This window comes from Homo sapiens, chromosome 6, assembly GCF_000001405.40.
Source record: "Homo sapiens chromosome 6, GRCh38.p14 Primary Assembly".
Taxonomy (NCBI): domain Eukaryota; kingdom Metazoa; phylum Chordata; class Mammalia; order Primates; family Hominidae; genus Homo; species Homo sapiens.
In genome coordinates this window covers 2,790,857-2,813,634 of record NC_000006.12, presented here as the reverse complement: position 1 = coordinate 2,813,634, position 22,778 = coordinate 2,790,857, and the positions used below count along the sequence as shown (strand labels likewise).

At 47.3% G+C, this 22,778-nt stretch overlaps 1 long non-coding RNA gene across 2 annotated transcripts, besides 5 other annotated features; it reads left to right on the top strand.

The window, feature by feature from the left end:
- The first annotated feature begins 880 nt into the window (after window positions 1-880).
- Window positions 881-22,444, top strand: LOC124901241 (uncharacterized). 2 transcript variants are annotated; one of them, XR_007059408.1, is made up of 3 exons: window positions 881-9,038; window positions 11,303-11,404; window positions 22,149-22,444. It is a non-coding gene; the product is annotated as an uncharacterized LOC124901241 (long non-coding RNA). The 2 variants fall into 2 exon arrangements; XR_007059407.1 differs by having other exon boundaries at window positions 881-11,404.
- Window positions 2,763-3,962: an enhancer, noted in NCBI's record as "P300/CBP strongly-dependent group 1 enhancer chr6:2809907-2811106 (GRCh37/hg19 assembly coordinates)". NCBI's record gives its function as "activates an origin of replication core promoter dependent on BRD2, BRD4, P300/CBP, MED14 and CDK7 cofactors, with strong dependence on P300/CBP, by STARR-seq in HCT116 cells {active_cell/tissue: HCT116}" and the evidence as "EXISTENCE:reporter gene assay evidence [ECO:0000049][PMID:35650434]".
- Window positions 11,039-11,539: an enhancer, noted in NCBI's record as "H3K4me1 hESC enhancer chr6:2802330-2802830 (GRCh37/hg19 assembly coordinates)". NCBI's record gives its function as "activates a minimal SCP1, AML or CMV promoter by ChIP-STARR-seq in naive H9 embryonic stem cells {active_cell/tissue: H9 hESC(naive)}" and the evidence as "EXISTENCE:reporter gene assay evidence [ECO:0000049][PMID:30033119]".
- Window positions 15,731-15,835: a silencer, noted in NCBI's record as "fragment chr6:2798034-2798138 (GRCh37/hg19 assembly coordinates)". NCBI's record gives its function as "represses an EF-1alpha promoter that drives an FKBP-Casp9 reporter gene in an ReSE screen in K562 erythroleukemia cells {active_cell/tissue: K562}" and the evidence as "EXISTENCE:reporter gene assay evidence [ECO:0000049][PMID:32094911]".
- Window positions 22,106-22,400: an enhancer, noted in NCBI's record as "tiled region #6984; HepG2 Activating DNase unmatched - State 12:CtcfO". NCBI's record gives its function as "activates a minimal TATA promoter and a strong SV40 promoter by Sharpr-MPRA in HepG2 cells {active_cell/tissue: HepG2}" and the evidence as "EXISTENCE:reporter gene assay evidence [ECO:0000049][PMID:27701403]".
- Window positions 22,106-22,400: a silencer, noted in NCBI's record as "tiled region #6984; K562 Repressive DNase unmatched - State 12:CtcfO". NCBI's record gives its function as "weakly represses a minimal TATA promoter and a strong SV40 promoter by Sharpr-MPRA in K562 cells {active_cell/tissue: K562}" and the evidence as "EXISTENCE:reporter gene assay evidence [ECO:0000049][PMID:27701403]".

The window sequence follows — 22,778 nt, the reverse complement described above, 5'->3', positions numbered from 1 at the left end:
GACATGTGACCCGGTCATTCCACTTCTATTAATAGGTGTTTACCAGAAAAGAAAGCATAGACCCACACAAAGACTTGTATGCACAAATTAATAGTTTTATTTGCAATAGCCAAAAACCAAAAACAACCAAAATGTCAACCAATAGACGAATGAATAAACAAATTGTCATATATTCATACAGTGGAATACTACTTAGCAAAAAAAAAAATTATTGATAAACTTTACAACATGTGTGAATCCAAAAATACCTATGTTGAGTGAAAGAAGCAAGACAAGAAAACAGGTGGGGCGTGGTGGCTCATGCCTGTCATCCCAGCACTTTGGGAGGCCGAGGCAGGTGGATCACGAGGTCAGGAGATTGAGACCATCCTGGCTAACACGGTGAAACCCCATCTCTACTAAAAATGCAAAAAATTAGCCGGGCGTGGTGGCGGGCACCTGTAGTCCCAGCTACTCGGAAGGCTGAGGCAGGAGAATGGCGTGAACCCGGGAAGTGGAGCTTGCAGTGAGCTGAGATCGCGCCGCTGCACTCCAGCCTGGGTGACAGAGCAAGAATCCGTCTCAAAAAAAAAAAAAAAAAAAAGACTAGAAAAGAGTATATATTATAGAATTCTTGTAATTGCTAACTAGTCTGCAGTGACAGAAAGCAGGTCGATGATTGCCTGGACTGGGGAAGGGAGGGAGGGATTATAAAAGGGAATGAAGAAATTTGGGGGGCTAAGGGATATGTTTGCCATCTTGATTGTGATGATGATTTCACAGGTGTATACATATGTCAAAACTTAGCAAATATATACCTTAAATATGGGCAGTTTACGATATGTCAATATACCTCAACAAAGCTGTTAAAGAAATCTCTGTCTCCAACCCATTCCTTCTTTTTTTTTTTTTTTTTTTTTTTTTTTTTGAGATAGAGTCTTGCTCTGTGGCCCAGGCTCAAGTGCAGTGACGTGATCTCGGCCCATTGCAACCTCCGCCTTCCAGGTTCAAATGATTCTCCTGCCTCAGCCTCCTGAGTAGCTGGGATTACAGGACTGTGCCACCACACCTGGCTAATTTTTGTATTTTTAGTAGAGACAAGGTTTCCCCACGTTGGCCAGGCTGGTCTTGAACTCCTGACCTCAAGTGATCCACCCACCTCGGCCTCCCAAAGTGCTGGGATTACAGGCGTGAGCCACCATGCCCAGCCCATTCCTTCTTTTCCATTCCCACTGACACCATCCTATGTTCAGGCCCTAATTATACCCCACCTCTGTTAACATCTTCATTGTTGTTTACTGTTGCCCTAACACCCTCCAATCAACCATTCATCGATGCCACAAGATCCAGCTTCCTAAAATCCAGCCATACCAACATACCAGTACACCAACGGCCTGCTCCAAGATCTTCAACAACTCCTATTATCCACTGATTTAAGGAATGATGATAGCTCTATGTGCCAGAAACTTTACATACATTATCTTATTTAATCTTTTCAGTAATCTTTCAATGTAAGTGTTATTACCCTCATCCCCGTTTTCAGGCAGGACTTGCCCAGGTTTGCACAGCAGCACCAGAAAAACCCCGTGTCTGTCTGACTGTATGACCCTTCGTCACCTCTTTACAATACATCCTGCTGTAATCTAGGCCGCTGGACATTCACAATGGCTCTCTAGTTCATCTTTCTAGCTGTGTCTATCACTACCTATATCTTATAGGGTCTACATTGTTGAGCCATATAAAGGTGCCATTTTTGTAGGTCAAAAATGGTGAAGTGTGGACAATTTCAAGTGGTTCAACTATATATGTGTATATATATTGGTGTACATATACATTTATAAAGATACATGTACAGTTTTGCATATTACATATGCATACATATATGTGCAGTAAGTCTTCACTTCACCAATAGGTTTTTGGAAACTGCAATTTTAAGTGAAACAATGTATAACAAAATCATGTTTTTTTCTCCTTTACGTTATAACAAAATGATATGAATGAAATGATATTATTGGAGGACTTGCTGCACATTATCAGTTCTCTTGAAGTCAAAGTGCCGTGGACAGTTACTATATATATATATATATACACACACACATACCCTCATATACGTGTCTGTGCGTATATATATTCTGTATCAGTATCTCTCACCCAAGGTGATTTTTCCCCCAACCCCAAGGTCAATTGGCAATGTCTGGAGACATTCCGGGTTGTTACCACTGGGGTCGGAGTGTCACTAGCATCCAGTGGGTTGACAGCGAGATGCCGCTACACAGCCTACAGCTCACAGGACAGCCCCCACAACAAAGAATTATCCGGCCAAAATGTCAGTCATGCTGCAGCTGAGAAACCATTTCCTCTATTGAAGAAGAGCTGTGGATGCCCTGTCTTCTTTCTGGAATGCTGATTTCTGCCATCTCCACCTGTTGAAATACTGCTTACCCTCCAAGATGCCTTCAGTGCTCTTTGCACCTGGATCTTTTGCTGGTGGAGAGGCATCCTCGCTCATGTCCTTGGCCCTCCACTGCTATTTAACATGCACCACATATTACTTCTTTGAGTTACCATTAGCATTTCTGTCTTAAAGCTGAAAATATAATAGACTTACCGTAAACTCCACAAGGGCAAATACCCACTTCTTGCTTATCTTTGTACCTTCTTTAGATCCTAGTAATTTAACTAAAATACAAAGCAGACCATGAAAAGTAATGGAATATTAAAGATACTGTACTAGCCTTATTGGACTGTACAAAAAAATTAATTCTGGTCAGAAGACTTCTAGGAGATGGCGTTGAACCTGCCCTGTTCCTAGCAAATTTTCTCTCTGACAAAGTACCAACTCTTTTGCAATTATGTGTGAAAGTGTTTAAGCTTCCAACCTGTGTGAGTATTTAGGGATCCTTAAGACTGCTAAGTTAATTGGGGTGATGGCTTTTCTGAAATGCTAGGTTTTATAAAATTAAGGACCACACCTGAATTATACAGCACAGTGCAATGTCCGAATGATGACCGAAGCCTGCCTCTGTGGGTGATAAGGCATAGCATTGCCTAGGTGGGGAGTCACCGAGGCCTGCAGTATTGACTATGTTATGATGATTGTGAAACAGTCTCTACATATTTAAGAGGCACTCCTTTTCACAGAGTAAGAAAAGCTAACCCGTAGGACAGTCAGCCACCTCCATTACACAACTGTAACCTCAAGCATAAGTTTGTAGAGTTCCCAGAATTACCCTCACCATCCCTCTTGGGAGTTCCCCTCTTTCAAAAACCTCTGGACTCCTTTCTGTCTCAGCAGAGACTGAAGGGAGGGAGGGAGATGACCAAATCCTTAATCAGAAACTTCCTGACCACACCTGTGCCTTACCGGCTCATGAGTAGCACCTGTTCCCCAGGATAGACACCTGAGTCACCCTCTTACTAATTCTCCTCTGGCCAAACCCCAGAATCTGTCAATCCCGCTCTGTCCTCACCCGCCTTCATCGTGGGAGATTTCACCTTCTCTTGCCCAGCCCATGGGAACAGCCCATGATTCAACTCCACTGCAGCCGCAGTTCACAATACAGAATTCTAATCCAAGGAAGTCGCTCCTTTGACTGAAAACCTTCCATGACTCTCCATTACCTACCAATCACTAGAGCACAATTATAACTCCAAGTACTAATCTGTTTTCCCCACACCAGGTGTTCCTCTGTCTTCTCTCCCACCACACCCAGGGAAACCCCTGGTGTCCAGGAAACCAAAGCTAAAGATGAAAAACTTCTGACTTTGATGTCGTGGTTTCCAAGTGCAGCCTAAGGTAGAAAGATTTGGAGGCATATTTGAGCCTTTCTGATTGCAAACCCTTGCTAAGACTGGCCTGGGCTGCAAGACAAGATACTGTGAGTGGTGGGGGAGGAATTGGCACAACTGAGGAAGGCGAGAAAGGAGTCAGGTGAGTGAGGTCCTCGGTGCAGTAAAAATGGGTGGAGGAACAAGAGAGCAGAGATAACTTGGGCCCAGTTGTCCTCAGACTAGTCCATTGCCTTGGACAGCCTGTTCTCCCATAGTCCTGGGTGCATACAGAGTCCTGAATAGAGGGACTTATATGGGGAATCAGGCTTGAAGGGGAGGTTGTGCTCGTCAATGGAAGTTGAACAGAACGAAGTCGGTAGAGAATTGATTTTCACTTAGGATGGGTGAGGATTTAGCTCTCGGCTTCCACTATTCCCTTTGCTTCCTATCACCATCTTCTTTGGTTATAATTTTGGATTAAATAACATTTGGTATTAATATTTTTATAATCACACAAGGGTTATTCACAACTGAGCAGCATCATAAACTCTGATTGGTCCCTTCTTGCTTTGATGTTTTTCCTGAGGATAATAGTTGCCTTGTTTTTCATTGCTCAGTTTCTTTGTGCCTGTAATTTTCCCCATGCTTTTCAATAGCCTCTCAGTGCTATTCTCAGCAAGGTCAATAACCTCAGTTAATCAGCTGGGTCCACTTTGTTTGTGGAGATATCCTCCGCTGCAAACCTCTTTACTCTTCTGTCTGGAATGATTGCATAGGTCGTATCCTGGGACTTCCCTTTACATCCCCCCAACCCAGCTTTATTGAAGTATGATTGTCAAATAAAATAAAATATGTATATACTTAAAGTAAATAACATATGTATGCCTTGTATTCCTCAATCAAGCTAATATATTTATCACTTCACATAGTTATGTGTGTATGGAATTTCAAGTGTACAGTATATTATTAAGTGTAGTCACCATGCTGTACTTAGATTCCCAGAACATATTCATCTTACTACTGCAAGTTTGTACCCCTTGACCAACGTCTCACCATTCCTTTCCCTGCTTCCCAGCCCTTGTCCATCCCCATTCCACCTGCTGTTTCTAGGACTTCTTTAGGTTCCACATATAAATGAGATCATGCAGTACTTGTCTTTCTGTGTCTAGTTTATTTCACTTAATATTATGTCCTCCAGGCTTATCCATGTTGTCGCAAATGCAGGATTTTCTTTTCTTTTTTTAGGGATAAATCACATTTTATTGTATATATACCACATTTTTAATCCATTCGTCCATCACTGGATCCTTAGATTGTTTCATTATCTTGGCTATTGTGAGTAATGCAGCAATAAACATGGGGCTGCAGAGATCTTTTATATCCTTTGCATATATACACAGAAGAAGGATTGCTGGATTATATGGAATTTATTTCTTTTCTTTTCTTTTTTATTTTAAGAGACGACCTGTCACTCAGGTTGGAGTGCCATGGTGCAATCATAGTTCACTGCAGCCTCGACCTCTCAGGCTCAAGCAATCATCTTGCCTCAGCATCCTGAGTAGCTGGGACTACAGGTATGTGCCACCATGTCCAGCTAATATTTTTACTTTTTGTAGAGGTAGGGTCTCACTATGTTGCCCAGGCTGGTCTTGAACTCCTGGCCTCAAGCAATCCCTTCTGCCTCAGCCTCCCAAAGTGCTGGGATTACAGGCGTGGGCCACTGTGCCCAGCCTCTCATAAGGCAGTTTCATTTTTAGTTTTATTTTTGCAGAGCCTTCATACTGTCTTCCATAGTGGCTGTGCCAGTTTACATTCCCGTCAACCGTGGGAATGTTTCCTTTTCATCACATCTGGCCACTTGTTATCTTTTGATTTCCCCCCAGCTGTATTTAGATATGATGAACAAATCTTTTTACTTTAACTCATGGAATTCCTTCTGCCTTTTTCCTGCTTGGATTCTCTGTTTCCTGGATCTCACATCTTCCTATTTTTTGACTTTATCTCCTTGGTTGGTGGAGCACATCCTCCCATTGTTTCATCCCAGGGAGGAGGTGGCACGAGGCTGAGGAGGCAGTGACATCGATAGTGGCGTGCTGCCTCAGAGTCACACGGCCTGTTCTGGCTGGGGTGCCTGCTGTGCCCTACACTTATTTGTCATTGCAGAATTTTTTATTGTTGTTCAGCTGAAGATTTACATCATCCTAGAGATTTCCATTTCCTTCTAGGTTGGACTTCTTAATATTCTATATTCCATGTCTTCCTTTATCTTGGCTCATTCTCTTCTTTGGGGGAAGCTACCCTCTGGCTGCTTCCTGGAAAATGATATGGGCAATTACTTTTGTTGTTGTTGAGAACTTACATGTCTGCACCTGTTTTGTGCTGCCATCAGATCTGCTCGATAGTTGTGGTTAGAATTCTACTTGGGAAATCATTGTCCTTTTGGGTTTTGAAGGCAATACTCCATTGCCTTCTATTTTTCCAGTGTTGACATTTGCAAGTCCCCGATCCTTTGTATGTGACCTGTCTTTTTCTTCGGAAATTTGAAACACATTCTCTTTACGCTCGGTATTCTGAAATATCATTTTTCTTGGGCGTCTGACAATTGGTTTTCCTGGGGCTAAGAGTGGGGGACTAGACAACTGATTACAAGCTCTGTGCACCTAGGCGGTCATCGTCAGCTTGCAGCTTATTCTAGGATGGACCATTCTCAGGGTCTCTAGGTTTTTCCTCTTTCACTGATTAGAATCCCAGGGGAGACTTCCAATTTCCTGCCTAGATATTAAAGATCTGGCTGCCAATGTTCTGAGAAGCAAGTTAGGAAGAAGGAAGTGAGTTTCTGCATTGGTATTTATATGTACAGGTTCATTTAATCTCCACATAGGCCAAAGACCCTCTGTTCTACTCTTTCCAGACTTCTACTCTGGGCAGCCTTCCTGAGCCTTGGAGTTTAAGTGCCCAGTGGGTTCCTCTTGCCTGCTGTCCAGACAGAGTTGATTTATTAAGGCAAGGAAGTTGAAACAGAGAAAGAGTTTTGCACACGTAGAGCTGGCTGAATGGGAGGTCAAGGTTTTATTATTCCCCAAATCAACCTCCCTGAAAGTCGGGAGGTTAGGGTTTTTCAAAGATTGTTTGGGGTAAGAGAGGAGTGGTGGCTAGGCTGGGTGTTTCCTGCTGATTGGTCAAGGCTGCCATCACTGGGCTGTGGGAAATGGTTCTCCTGGCGCTGAGTCACTTCTGGTTGGGGCCACAGGAGGGGTTGGTGGGTCCAGGTGGGGTCATCAGTGTCAGACATGCAAAAAACCTGAAAAGACATCTTAAAAGGCCAATCTTAGGTTCTACAATAGTGATGTTATCTTCAGGAGTCATTGGGGAAGTTACACACCTTGTGAACTCCGCAATAATGTCTGGTAATAATTTATGTGTACACCTTAGCAGAATTTGGGCTCCTCTCATCCTCCCAGCTTGGTGGCCTTTCATTAGTTTTACAAAAGCAATTTTGTTTGGAGAAGGACTATTATCATTTAAACTATAAGCTAAATATCTCCCAAAGTTAGCTTGGCCCAAGCCCAGGAATAGTTAAGGGCAGTTTGAAGGCTAAAGGCAAGAAAGGAGTTGGCTAAACCAGATTTCTTTCACTGCCATGATTTTCTCACTGTTATAATTGTTGCAAAGGTGGTTTCAGGGGGACTGGCTCACAATGGACTCTGGGCTTCTGTTTTCTCTTGCCACCTATCTACAAGCAAGAATCCCACTTCATGTAACTAGATTTGGGGTGGGGTGGGGATGGCGTGTTCTGTCTCACCAGACTCAGACAAGTTGTTAACCAGTTCCCTGTGAACCTACTTCACAAAACTGGCCCAGTGAGCAGGGTCTGGTCTGACAGGACCATGGCTTCTTGGCAAAGTGGGAGGGTGGTACCCCTCAGTACCCAGCCCAGGCAGAGACATCAGCCTGGGGGTGCAGGGGGCTGGACATGAAGCTGGAAGTTTTATAGAGAAGGAAGGGTGATAAGTGGAACAGAGGTCACCCTCCCTACACACACAAACACACACACACACACACACACACACACACACACAGATGAGAGAGAGCTGGCTGTAGGGACTGACATGGGGAGAAAAGAATATGGAAATGAGAGCATGGCACACAACCCCCTGGTTGCTGGGCACTCATGTGATCACTCATTCCCGGGGCTGGAGAGTTCAGGAGTGGGTACGCAGGTGGACCCTGGGGTACCCGAGAGGGAACCCGCATGCACAATGTGGGTCTTCACAGAAAAGGAGAATTTGGATCTAAGGGACAGATGTGGGCAAAATGCAGGGGAGGCCATGTCGTGGCTCTCTGGGATAGCTGATGAGAGAGGACAGAAGAAATGGTGCAATTAAGGGTGGGGACAAGGTCTCCAGGCCCCCACCATGCTCCTGTCAAAGAAGAGAAAAATTAAACTGATGCCATCGGCAGGTTTGAGGACAGACATGGCGACTGACAGTGCCTATTTGCTGTGGGTGGGGCCCTTTGAGCCATTTTGGGCACAGTGACCACGGTTCCCACCTCTGCACTGTAGCAGGGGTCCCAACCCCCTGGGCCACAGACTGGTACTGACCTGTGGCCTGTTAGGAACCAGGTCGCACAGCAGGAGGTGAGCATGGACGAGGGAGTATCACCACCTGAGCTCCGCCTCCTGTCAGAACAGCGGCGGCATTAGATTCTCACAGGGGCACGAGCCCCACTGTGGACTGCGCATGCGAAGGACTTAGGTTGCGTGCACCTTACGAGAAGGTAATGGTAAATATAATGGGCTTGAATCGTCTTGAAAGCATCCACTCCCCTGTCTTGGAAAAACTGTCTTCCACAAAACCAGTCCCTGGTGCCAAAATGGTTGAGGACCTCTGCATTATAGGCATCGACACTTGGGCTGCTGTGGCACAGAACGTCACACCACCTAGACGGCATGCCCTCACAGCAACAGCGGCGCAGATCCACTCCTGCCTACCACCTAAGCTCCCCAAGCCCCAGTGGGGTGTTCAACAAAAGCAGTACTGAATGCAAAGTGGAGAACAGGACTTTGCGTTAATTCTGATAAAAATGTTACAAACCATTCTGTCGCAATGTGACGGTTGACTTTGGCTGGTCAAAAAGACCTTCAGGGGATGGAGACCAACAACAGACTGTTGCAGGCTGAACGCCAAGGCCACTTGGGCAGGAAGCCAAAGAAATATCCCAGATGCCATCAAGCAAAAACTGTTGGCCTGGCAGCATCCACTAATCAAGAGGAGGTTCCATAGCAGGTAGGTCTCTTTGAGTGCTGGAGACAGCATATACCCACCTTGTGTTCTTTTGCCCTCCTTAGTCAAGGTGACAGGCAAAGCTGCCAACTTTGAACAGGGCCCTTTGTAATAGCAGGACTTGGAAGTCACTTAACAACTTTTGTCTGGGGCACAGCCTTTAAAACTTTTAGAGTCTGCTAGCCCAATGGAATTATAGGTGTCTGCCATCTCCACACGTGCCAATTGGAGCCTCTTGCAACAGGAAACTGCCACTGGGGTGCACCGGCCTCAGGTTTTGGACACGTAATTCCTAAAGCAGCCCCCAGATGTACATCTATTGAATGGCAACTGCTTGATTGCTACTGGGCAGTGCAGGAAACTGGACATCCACATGTGATGTTGCAACCTGAACTGTCCAACTTGAATGCTTACAAATTCCACCAATAAAATCAAACAGGCTCATCAGAGCTCAACTGTTAAGTGAAAATAGTACCTTTAAGATTGGATCCAGCCAGTATCCAAGGGGCCGGTGGGCTTCATGAATAATGGCTAGCTTGACAGAAGGTACCATGTGAGCTGACAGGGGTGCTTCAGCTCCTCCTGGGGCTACCTGGGACCCAAGATTCAGATTCAGAGACTGGACTGCCTATGATATGGCATGGCTTACTGACAGCTCTGCAAAACAACGAGCAGACAGGGTCCACTGGGCTGCGGCCACTGTCCAGCCAGTGAATGGCTGTCTTTCAATTGAGACTGCACATGGATGTTCTGTCCAACGGGCTGGACCACAGGCAGGGGTGATGGCCATGCAAGCCACCACCATATCTTGTTAGATATTCACTGATTCATGGACTGTGGCTAACAGCCTACATGACTGTTCAGGAGAATGGCTACTGAGTGGCTGGACTATTAAAGGGTTTCCTGTTAAAGGACTATGACAATAGCTTGCTGCCTGGAAGGGACACAGAGATGTCACTCAAGTGGATGTTGAGACTACCATGGCCGCCCTTGAGAGGAGCTTCTGTCATGTTTTTGGATATCCCGGAACCTCACTCTGCCCAAGGAACATCCTTCACTGCCTTAGCAGTATAACAGTGGGTGCGTACTCACGAAATAGGATAGACTTTCCACGCGCGCTGTCACCTGCAGGCCAGCGGGGCTGCTGAATGATGGAACCATTGCCCACAACGAAACCGAAGACAGGACATCAAGATGGCCTGCTAGCGGGGTGACACCATCTGACTAGGGTATTATGGACCCTAAACTCTGTACTCCCGCACAAGGGAAGTGCCAAGACCAGCTCAGTCAGGGAGACCCTAACCCAGCGGCGCTAGAGGGAAGCGTGACACTGCAGGGCACATTGAGAGACACTGGGCTTGTAAGGGTGACGGTGATGGGGGGGCGGCAGGCAGCCACCTGATTAGGCTGCACCTGTGAAATCCCAATCTCAGCATTCCCAACCATTCTTTTTCCCTTCTCCCTTTAGAGTGCATGTCCTGAAGGTGGTTTGTGGTTCAGGCTGCCATAGTACCCCAGACAGGGCCCCCAACTTGAACCTGGACTCAATACTTCCCCTGGGGGTCTCCCCTCTATGGGGTCCCACAGGAGTGGGGATGGGACCAAGGAATACCAAAGCGCTAGGGTCTCTCTAGTGGCAGGGGGAACATCTGACTTTCCACTAGAATGGGCAACATTATCGGACATGTTGTTTGTACAGGACGTGATACCCTTTCCTGGACTAGATGACTGAGGCCTGAAGGTCTGAGTCATGCAACAGGGGCCATGGGTGCCACAGAGGTAGTGGCCTGGGCTGGGGCAGACAGACTTGGTCACTGCAGCAACTCAGCCCACCCTTGTCCACAGGTGGGGAACACCTGGAACTGCGAGTGGGGGAGGGGCACTAATGTGTCTGCTTTTCCACAAAGACGTGGGAGCAGACGCCCAGGAGCCCAATGCCTTTGTCAGGCTCTCTGAGCTGTAGCCCTCCCAGGCAACCTGGCAAACTGCTAGATCTGCCCTTCTGGACCTCGTTCTGTCCCTGACCAGAGCAACCCTCTCATCCCATCAGCGGTGAATGACATCTGTGTGTCTGACACCACCACACACCCAACGGGGCCTGAGCCCTGGCTGACGGAGGGAGGCTCTGGCACCCAGGCATGGGAGGGAGCTGGAGGTGCCATGTTTTAACTTAACCGATTCTGCAGCAAAATGGCATGAACACGACTAATAAGCCTCTCCATGGGCTGGTCCTTTGACACACCACACTCCTTTGTTTCCATGGACAGGAGGTGTCCCCATGCAATAAAGAAAATAAGAATTGGATTAGTAGCAGCCATCTGTGCAGGGGAGACTGAGCTCCGCAACTCTGTGTCCATGAGGCTTGGCTGGTGAGTGCCAGTGCCTCCACACCCCCAAGTAGGCACTGAGCAGTAACGTGGGGGAAGGGCTACACCTTTCTCTGTGGGCAGCCCTGGGATGGGCAATGTCATGCCAGCAAAGCTGGCAGATGGTGGGATCCTGTACACTGGGTGTGCTGGGAGCAACCTGGCTATCACCCCTGGGAATGGGCCATACCATTGGGCCAACAATCTGGGGCTTTACACCAGACTTGCTAGGGACCTGTCAGGAGGAGTAACAGACCGGGTTTATGTCCCCTAAGGGATCTCTGGTACCATCGTAGGAGTCAGTGCTCATGAAAAACAAAAGAAAATGTGGCACATATACACCATGGAATACTATGCAGCCATAAAAAATGATGAGTTCATGTCCTTTGTAGGGACATGGATGAAATTGGAAACCATCATTCTCAGTAAACTATCGCAAGAACAAAAAACCAAACACCGCATATTCTCACTCATAGGTGGGAATTGAACAATGAGATCACATGGACACAGGAAGGGGAATATCACACTCTGGGGACTGTGGTGGGGTCGGGGGAGGGGGGAGGGATAGCATTGGGAGATATACCTAATGCTAGATGACACGTTAGTGGGTGCAGCGCACCAGCATGGCACATGTATACATATGTAACTAACCTGCACAATGTGCACATGTACCCTAAAACTTAGAGTATAATAAAAAAAAAATTAAAAAAAAAAATTTAAAAAAAAAAAAGAAAAAAAAAAGACACCTGTCCCTGAGCATGGCAGGTATCACTGCCTCCACCGCCTCTGCCTGGGCAGCCAGCCGCCAGCCCTTGGCTCCTTCTGGAAGGCTGCTTCAGATGACAGGATTGTTCAAGACTGTCTTCCCTGACCAAGAAGAGTGTGCATGTCAGGGATTGCAGAGACACAAGGAGAGGAGATCTGGAGGCAGACCCACTGGGTCACAGTGGGGCCACCTAAGGACTCTTCTCCAACTTCGTTACCTGGATCACTGGGATCCTGGGCCAGACTGCTGCTCCCAGCAGGCCTGGCCATCCTGCTGTGGTTGTGGTCCCCCGGGCCTGGTGAAGTGTAACCTGGCTATGGCTCAATGACATTGCACTGAGCCTGTGTCCGTCAAGGTGTTACATCAACCTGACAAGACACGCCTCCGTCTCCAGATCTGGAGAGGTCGGAGGGCAGAGGCAATGGACTGGCTTTGTGGAAGGGGCTACCTGGGTTGGGAGGTGGACTGCAGGACAGCTCTCCAGGTGACCGTGGACTAACCCAGTTCTGCCCCACTTCTCACTCATAGCTGTCAAGAATAATCATAGAATATGCTGGAATGCTGCATCCCGAGATAGGGAGGGACTGACTGGGCCTGCCTGGGCTCTGTCCCAGTCTCCCCTAGAAACAGGACGTCCTTCAACACTGCAGCCCAGTGTGTCCTGTGACCCCAGGGTATAAAACCCAGGGCAGGCTGCTTTCTGGGGGTCCCTCAACTGTGGTGCAAGTAGGGTACACACAGATGAGACTCCACCCGCCCCGGGCAGCTTTCCTGAGCCTTGGGGACCGGCTTGCAATGGAGCCATGGCTTCTGCAGTCCCTTGCCGTTCATCTGTGAGTAAGAAATCCACTTCATGGTGTTTGTTGAATTTGACTGTGTTCTATCTCACCAGGCTCAGACACGTTCATAAACAGTGCCCAGTGACACTGCTTCACAAACCCCTTCTAGACCTTTCTCCAGTGAGCCTGGACCATCCACAGAAACTCCGAGGGAACTAAATGGAATATCACGGGAAGGCATAGGGTCAGCGGAGGAGCTACCTTGGTCTGTTACTCACGTACTTAGTGAAGGCAGTCAGGTTTCCAGTTAAATTCTCCATATCTGTAACCTATGGTCACTGTGCTAAAAATAATGTGCCATTTTTTATTTGCAGGCAGTGGTATTATCGAGCTGATTAGATTAGGGATTGGTGTTTACTAGCTATATTAATGGAAAAAGTTATGATCAGACACATTATCTGCCAAACTATCTTTGCTTTTGATCTTTCCTGTTCCCACCATGGTGTTTCGGTCACATTGTCAGTGGATGACACGTGGTTACTGTGGAAATTGGATTAAGTGACTCAGAAGTTCCTTTCCAGTGCTGTGATGCTATGTGACATGGTGTTGATTATCTGCAAGTGGTCTAGTCTTAGGGCTCGAACGCAGACCGTCACCCAGCTCCATTTACTTATGTATGTTCTAACAACACAGGAAAAAGGACCTCCAGAAGTGAATGCCCCAGAACGAGTGTTTGACACTCCTGACTTTGCAGGTGGACAGAAAAACCACATCTGTCCAGGCCCCAGCACAGGAGTATGATCCTGGCCACTTCTAAAAATACTCAGGATCAGAAAGAAAAATCTTTACTTTGACTAGAAAGTGTTATTATATAGGAGACTTTCAAGATCTGTAGCAAAACACCTTCTATGTGCCATGCATTTTGTATTCATTTTTGAACTCTCTGGTCCTACATGTAGGTGTCATTTGCTCAGTTTTACGAATGAAGGATGGAGGTTCAAGGTGTGGCTGCAATGAGCCAGGACTGGAAACCAGGCTTAAGTGCAAAGCCATGCTCTCTCCACAGCCTCTGCCCCTTAGTGAGGGATGTGGTATCAGGGGATGGGGCCTGATGGAGAGGGACAGAGGTAAGGGAGGAGCAGCTGCCAAGCCTGGCTGCTTCTGATTGAAATTGAAGCAAACAAACAAACAAAAACTAGAGTAAAAGGACGTTCCCACCAGACTTTTATAGTTCTTGAAGACAAAGACACTCTGCTTACCTCCATTTCAAAATACATTTTGAGTTTCCTTTTTCAATAGAAAATCCAGGCTGGCCACAATGGCTCACACCTGTAATCGCATTATTTTGGGAGGCCGAGGAGGGCGGATCACCTGAGGTCAGGAGTTTGAGACCAGCCTGGCCAACACGGTGAAACCCCCTCTCTACTAAAAATACAAGAATTAGCTGGCCTTGGTGGCGGGTGCCTGTAATCCCAGCTACTTGGGAGGCTGAGGCAGGAGAACTGCTTTAACCCAGGAGGCAGAGGTTGCAGTGAGCTGAGATCATGCCACTGCACTCCAGCCTGGGCGACAGAGTGAGACTCCATCTCAAAAAAAAGAAAAAAAAAAAAAAGAAAATCCAAATGCCCAAGTTCCCAATAAACCAAGGTACCCCAATGGGTATGAGGTTTCTGGGGCTGCGCTCCACCCACCCCGACAGCTACTGAACCCGTGGCCTCATGGGCCTCTGCACGGCTGGAACCCACCTGGCCCGGCTCCGCCCCCACACTAGCCCTGCTGTTCATTGGTCATAACTCCTCTTGGTTGCCAGTTATTGAAACCCAATTTAAACTGGATTAAGAGGAAACAAAAGAAGGGATTTTTGGAAGTTTCAAGCTACCACAGAAATGGCAGGGGTGTGGGGGGTGTCAGAAACACCTGTCACTAGGCCTGGCATGGGCCCTGGCTGTCTCCTCCTCTCGGCTGGGTTCTTCCCAGCCTTGTTTCCTCACACTGGCTTCTTCACGTAGCGGGAAACACATGTTCACATCTCTGAGCGTCATGACCAAAGAGTCAGGGCTTGCTCCTGTGTTCCCAGGGAAGAACTTAGACCAAGAGCCTGTCCTTGGACGGAGTGACTAGGGCCTGAGGAAGGGGCAGGAGAGGAGGCCACCTGGAGGGAGTGTTCCTCCCTGTGCTGGGCGGGGCAGCCTGGGCCTTGAGGAGTCCACAGCTCCCCTCACATCACACACTTGGAGGAAGAGTAAATGTCCCCGGAGGAAGAGTAAATGTCCCCGGAGAAAGGGGTTGCTGTCATGCGTACGCGAATCCTCCATGCCTGCGGTAGCCAAGCAAGCAGATCTCTGCAAATGTGTCTCCATCCACGGCCCAGGAGAGGGGCCACATCACCGGGCATGCAGCAGGAGCTATCTATTTAATATATTGCAACTCACTGCATGCAATGATTCCAATCAATAGGGGGCTTTCTGTGAATTTTGTTTAAAATAGTATTTATTTCAAAGTTATCACTACCTCACAAGTATTTTAGCAACTATTTATTTAAAAGTATCTTCTTGATGCAAAAAAAAAAAAAGACAAAGAAAAAGAAACTGTGAGCTTAAACATATTTGAATGGAGAGGAGGAATTCATTTGAAGTTAGTTTGATGGATTAGCTTGAAGTCACAGCAGAGGCTGATTTTAAAGTGACAGCAGCTCTCTCCCCATCTCCTCTCACAGCCTGCCCAGGGCAGCATGGAGGAAGGGGAGGAGTAGGAGCAGGGGAGGAGGAGGAGAAGGAGGAGGAGGAGGAAGAGGAGGAGGAGGAGGAGGAAGAGGAGGAGGAGGAGGAGGAGGAGGAGGAGATCTGCCTTGGGTGAGATCAGGCCAGGGCTGAACCTGTGAGATTCAAATTGGGGCTTCGTTGTTTGTGTACATTCTTGTGAAGTCATTTCTGGGACTTCGTCCCTCCCCACCTTGCTTGCTGTTGGCTGTCTCAAGGGATTTCAGGGACCTGGGAACTGTGAAGAATGTGCTGCTTGTGAACTTCACCTGTCACATGTTCTGGGAGGGGAGCAGGGAGGGAAGAACAGCTGCACAGTCCTGCCGAGGACACATTCATTCTCAGTTCTTGCCTAAGTTTCCAGGGACTACATCACTGAGGGCCACCCCCTTCTCTCCCACCCTTGCCACTGTAGGAAACTTCAGGTGTCTTGGTCCACCCAGCATTCAAACTCCTGGCTGGAAGGAGCTAGCGAAGGCCTGGGAAGCTGCAGGAAGGGATCTGGTGCTGAGCCTCCAGGCCACTGAGCCCAGAGTCACACCTGGCCAGCTTCCTCTCATTTCCTTCCTTCTGTGCTGAGGCCTCAGTTTCTCAATTCACCAAGACCACTTGCTGCCCCAAGGGGCTTCCCTTGTGTCCTTGGTCCTGCAGACAGAGCACAACCCTGGAGCTGCCCTTGCGGGCTCTACCATGTGTGGCTGTCCCACGCGGCTCTTCCCTACGCGAGGGCCCTAAATCCAGAAGGAATGGGTGGGCCCAGAGCAAAAGGTGTGATGGGATTTCCTCATAGACATCTGAATTGAGTAAGAGTCTTCTCAGTGGAGAGACATCCAGCCTTCAAGAGCTTTGGACATTTCCTTATGAAAGAGACTTGAAATTGAGGAACAGCAGGGAGATGAGAGAGGACTGGACTTGTTCTCTAGAGAGCAGCTTTTGGGTTGGTGACTGGAGGTGGGCACAGGGGAGGTGCAAGAGCAGCCCACCCCCTCCTCCTTCCTGCCCTTCAAAATGCCCAGTGCTGCCCTGCAAACGCTGGAACTGTGGGATGATCAGCCAGCCCTTGCAAGGCCTCTGCTTCCAGATAAAAGAGAAGGAGAGTCCCAGTGAGGCACTTGAGGAGAAAGAGAAGAGCCTGGGGAAGGTGATGTGCTGTTTTGAAATTATCTGACAGTTACTGAACCATGTGATCCATTTCCCTGACATTCTGACACAAAAGTCTTTGAGCATAACTTACAATATTGTTTCGTTTTTTTTTTTTTTTTTAGACGGAGTCTTGCTCTGTCGCCCAGGCTGGAGTGCAGTGGTGCAGTCTTGGCTCACTGCAAGCTCTGCCTCCTGGGTTCACGCCATTCTCCTGCCTCAGCCTCCCGAGTAGCTGGGACTACAGGCGCCCACCACCACGCCCGGCTAATTTTTTTGTATTTTTAGGAGAGATGGGGTTTCACCATATTAGCCAGGATGGTCTCGATCTCCTGACCTCGTGATCCACCCGCCTCGGCCTCCCAAAGTGCTGGGATTACAGGCGTGAGCCACGGCGCCCAGCCAATATTGTTTCTTAAAATGAAGGAGGCATAAAAAAATCTCTTGAGCTTTTGTTCACACAGATTCCTTAGCAATTCCAGCTGAGTTGGCCGAGCCTGGGCGTCGCGTTCTGCATTTCTCATGGGCTCAGGTTGCTGGCTGCTGGTCCGGGCACCGCACTCTGGGCAGCACTGGCTGAAAGCGTGGGGCTGGTGGTCCTGCGGGGTCGTAGATGTGTCACCCACCTGGAGGGCAGCTCGTACTCCTAGTTCAAGCCTGACTTGCGGAAAGTTTTGCAAAGATTTCATAAGCCTCGCTGTTGTGACACCCCGTCTGTTCTCTTTCCAGTTCTGTGTCACGGTGACAACCCACAGGTCAGAGGAAACTAGAAAAGAGGTTTCTGGTATGAACTGTCCTGAGGGCTCCTCTCCTCTGCTATTTCACGATTTCCGCACCATCACCGGGTTCAGCAGTATTCTTTGATGATCCTGAGTTCTCTAAATTTAGCTTCTCAATCAAGCCTGTTTCTGGTTACTGGAATGGGCAGATGGAGTGGGAAGACAGGCAGTAACAGACCCTTCTAAATCTACCAAAGGGGCCAAGACAACTCCTGCTTACAAAAGGCAGCACGTCCATCAAAATCTGTGGCCATCCAGGTCTGCTCTCTCCCAAGGAGGAAGGAGCCAAGGTTTCTCCAAAGAGGAAGAAAAGGAGACAGGGGGAGAGGAAGGCACAGGGCACACTGCTCACTTTCCCACTGGAGTTCATTCCATGCCCATTTGAATATCATGTGAGCTAATGAAACAATTCTGACTTCCATAGCATCTGGCTTCTGAAAACCGCTAATATTTCTTAATGCTTTCCCATGTAAACAGTCAAAATAATCGTGCCTTAATTTAAATAGCACTTGACAGTTGATAGTATATTTTTATCTGCATATCTTACTTGATTTTCATAAGAAACTTCCAGTGTAAAAGTGGCCCTGCCAAAAAATAAAAGTGAACCTAGAAGTCATTGTTATACCCACTTCCAAGCTGAGAAAATCGAGGCCTGAATGAGTGAAGTGACTTACCAGAGATTGAACAATGGCCTTGTCTCAAAAGCCAGTTTTCTCAACATGGAAGCTTGTTGGAAGGATGTAAAATATGTATTTAATGACTCATTAGCAAAATGGAGATTTTCCTTTAAGTAGTTCTTATGATACAGATAACAACTATGTTTTGTTGTTGTTGGTTTATTTATTTATTTATTTATTTATTTACTTACTTTTTTGAGATGGAGTCTCACTCTGTCGCCCAGGCTGGGGTGCAATGGCACAATCTTGGCTCACTGCAAGCTCCGCCTCCCAGGTTCAAGCAATTCTCCTGCCTCAACCTCCTGAGTAGCTGGGATTACAGGTGCACGCCACCATGGCTGGCTAATTTTCGTATTTTTAGTAGAGACAGGGTTTCACCATGTTGGTCAGGTTGGTCTCGAACTCCTGACCTCACGATCCACCCGCCTCAGCAACAACAATGTATTTTTAAACTGCATGAGTTTGTAGAGATTATTGTAATCTATCCTCCTTTAAGAGATAAGGAAACTGAGGCTTAGAGAGGCTGAAATACTATGATCCAGAAGTTGTCCAAATCTGTTTTATGATTTATGACCTTAAGCACGTTAATTATATTTTAAAATTCTACTTCATTAAAACATCATGGGAAGGTACAGCAACACGACATTTGCAATGAGGTTATTGCATAAACAATCATAAGGCAGAAGGGATGTGAATCCTGTTTTTAGTGCACTAGTAGGAAATTCATACCACATCCTAAGCTACTCCAGTCATTCCACTGTGCAAACCAGAGCATGAAAAATGATCTCGGCTCATGACTAATCCACTGCCCTGAGCCTGGGGACGTTCACACCTACACTATCTGTGACATGGAATTGTCTATTCTTGAAAAGCATCGTCTTCTGTAGCGGGGAAAGTCAGTTAAGCAATTACTTGCTGAAAAGCTACTAGGAGCCAAACATTGTGGAATGAACATGACTATGACTATGCTTGCCCTCAGAAGGCTTATAACCCACAGCCAAAAAGACAGAACCTATGCAGTGTGATGTGAGCAGAGGAAGGAGAGACTTAATGAAGTGGATGGTTAGGTGAAGACTTCACATTTTTTTTATAGATCATGGGGGCAGAATTTCAAAAAAATTAGAGAATGGAAGAAATATGGAATTCTAATTCAGATAGTTTCTGCTTCAAAGTTGGCTAGTCATACAGATGGCAGTTGAGTAACTTCATGCAGAGTAAAGAAATACCACACCCAGGACTTTGCAGGTTGCTCAAGCAGATGGCCACATGGACCCTGGCTTCCTCAGAGCCTACTGTGACTAGAGCACAACCAGTACAAGTGACAAGAGACCCGCCCCATGTGTGCACTTGCTACTCAAGCTTCTGACATTCACCATTCCCCACACTTGGGGAATCTCATACCAGAAAGTCTATTCTTGGCCCAACAGACTTTCTGTTCCACTGTACTTGTCTCAACTACCTGCAACAGTGAGGAGGCGATGAGACAGGTAGAGAATTTGCAGGCTACGGAGTGGAATTCGTATATTTTATTCCTCAGTAAGGAGCCAAATGAGTAAGAAGGCGTGTTTTCACCGGAAGCCACAAGCTAAAGCAAAATAGGCAAGAAGCATAAACGGACTTGCTCAAAAGCCTCTCTCTTTCCTCAGAGCCCAGCTAGCCCACGTGTGCCTTTGTGAGACAGAAAAAGACATCCTCTCCTCTGGATTTCTGCCTGCTCACTGTCGGCCCTCAGCCAGGCCCCCTGGGCCTTGCCCTGCCCACACAGCCACACAGCAGCCATGTTCCCCACCCATGCAGCAATTTCAAGTGTGGATGACAAACACCTGGAGAGAAGCAGCAGCTGGTGTCAGAAGGAATGACAGGGGAGGGGGACAAAGGAGGCAAGCCCAGGTGGCATGGAGACTCAGGACCTCCTTAAGGCCTCATAAGTCACTGAATGTGTTTAGAGCAAGGAAGAAAAGATAAATGACAGCTACAGGTAGAGAGGCAGGAGATGAGTCTGAAAAGAGCCTGTTTGCCACCAAAAACTTATTTCTAGGCTATTGATGGCAGGTCACATAGCACGGTGAAGTTGTTCTCAAAGTGTGGTCCGTGTGGACCAGCCCCGTTAGCACCACCTGAGAACTTATAGTTGGAAACACAAATTCTTAGGCCCCATTGAAGATGGACTGAATTAGAAATTCTGGGATTTTTAGCGAGTCCTCCAGGTGATTCTGATGCATGTAAGAACCTGGAGCCACTGGCAAGGTGGCCGGGCAGGGCCGGCTCTGGGGGTTTCCATCCTGCTGACTCTCAGGAAGTCACTTTGCCATCTTAAGTTGTGTGCGCCTTTTCTCCATGTAAAATAGACGTACTAACAGCACCGGCTTATATAGTCTTTTTGGAAATTGAGATCACATATGGAAAACATTTTGCATGGTGCCCAGCATATGGCAGGCAGGGAATACATGTTTGCAATTACTGCTGCCAGCCAAAATGAAGCAGCAAGTGTGCTTGGAAGACTGCAGGCCTCCGCAGTCCCCAAGTTCAGCCTGTCCCCTGAGCGAAGAAAATGAAAGAGATGCAGGCTGGCGTCCAGGGAGAGCCCAGAGGGAGAGAGCAGTGCCCGGTCCATAACCACCTAAGGCCCTGGAACACCACAATGGCTCAGAGCCCAGGTGAGCAATAGCACCTGGGGCTGCACAGCGCTGGGCTGGGAAGCTTAGCCTGAGGGCTCAGCGCAGGCTTTGAGAGGAAAGCGATGCTTGAACTGGGGTGGGGAGAATGAGTCATGGCAATACCCAGCATGTATGGACTGTGTGCCGGACATGACTTTGAGCAATGCCAGATTTGAATCATGTAATCTCCATTGTGATTAAGTAATATTTTGATACCCATTTTAAAGATGAGGGAAAAGAAAATAACCTTGACCAAGGTCACGGGGTGAGGTGGCTCAGATAGGATTTGAACCCGAGCAGACAGACTCCTGGACCCACGCACCTCACCAAGTGTGGTTGGCTAGCGAGCCGAAAGAACCCTGGAGGCAGGGTGCTGAAGGAGGGGAGAGTGGTGTGAGGCTCTCTGTTTCTCTTATTAAATCCAGTTCTAGGCCGGGCACGGTGGCTCATGCCTGTAATCCCAGCACTTTGGGAGGCTGAGGTGGGTGAATCACCTGAGGTCAGGAGTTCGAGACCAGCCTGACCAACATGGTGAAACCCTGTCTCTACTAAAAATACAAAAATGAGCTGGGCATGGTGGCAGGTGCCTGTAATTCCAGCTACTCGGGAGGCTGAGGCAGGAGAACTGCTTGAATCTGGGAGGCAGAGGTTGCAGTGAGCCGAGATTGCACCACTGCACTCTAGCCTGGGCGACAGAGTGAGACTCCATCTCAAAAATAAAATAAAATATAATAAATAAATCCAGCTACTAGGTGTCTGGTGTGTCCTACCCTCTGTGGATGGCACGGCTGGTGGGGTGCACCACCGGAAGGGTGCAGCTCCCTGGTGGTGGCTCCAACTCAACCATGAAAAGTCATACGCTAAGAGACTAATTCTGCATGTAAGAAATCATGTGAGGGGGTGAGAAACAGCAAGCTATAAACAGATGGTGTAGTCATACATACACACACACACACACACACACACACACACACTCATTGGAAAAAATTCCCAAAGGACATACACTAAAATGTTTACAGTGGTTATCACTGAGAAAAAATATTAAATGTTAAAGTTGATTTTTACTATCTTTTATCTGCTTTTTTTTTTTTTTGCATCTGCTCCTGTACCTATGTGCAATGATCATGTATTACTTTTGCAATCAGACAAATACATAAGCTCTACTTTAAAACTGTTTATTTATCTACCAGGTTAACGACAAATACTGAAACTCAGTCTTGGCCTGAACCTGGTGACCTGGAGCTGGTGGAAGGCCTGGTGAGAGACAGCTCAGACACTGGCTCACTCTTTCCTGGCTGAAGCCTGACTCCTGGTGGACAGAAACATCAGCGACAGACTTCTATTTTCAAACGTCTACATACACATCTTAGGGAAAGTTTATTTATCCCCTCATTTTGTCATTCAACAAATATGTACTGATCACATTCTACATGCCAAGCATGATGGGAATGTAAAAATAAATTTGAGATGACGTCTTTGAGGAAAACGGCTTCTCTCTACTTTCGTTCGCATTTTCTTGTGTTTCAATAGTAGGGTATAGTGTGGTAGTTTTCTTCATGTAAGTCCTACTCCTCAGTTACAATTCAGTTTCTTTCCAGGTTGCTACTGAGAATGGAATATTCTTCTTGGTGTCTTTTCTGATTACAGTAGTGGCCCGGAAGCTATGGATTTTCATGGGTTGTTTCCATGTGGCCACTTTACTGGACTGTTAGCTGTTCGGACTCTTCTTCTTGGCTCTCAAGGTATACAATCACACAGAAAGAATTTTGTTTCTCCTAAAATAGAGCAGTAGTAGTTCTCATTTCAGAGATCTGTGCACA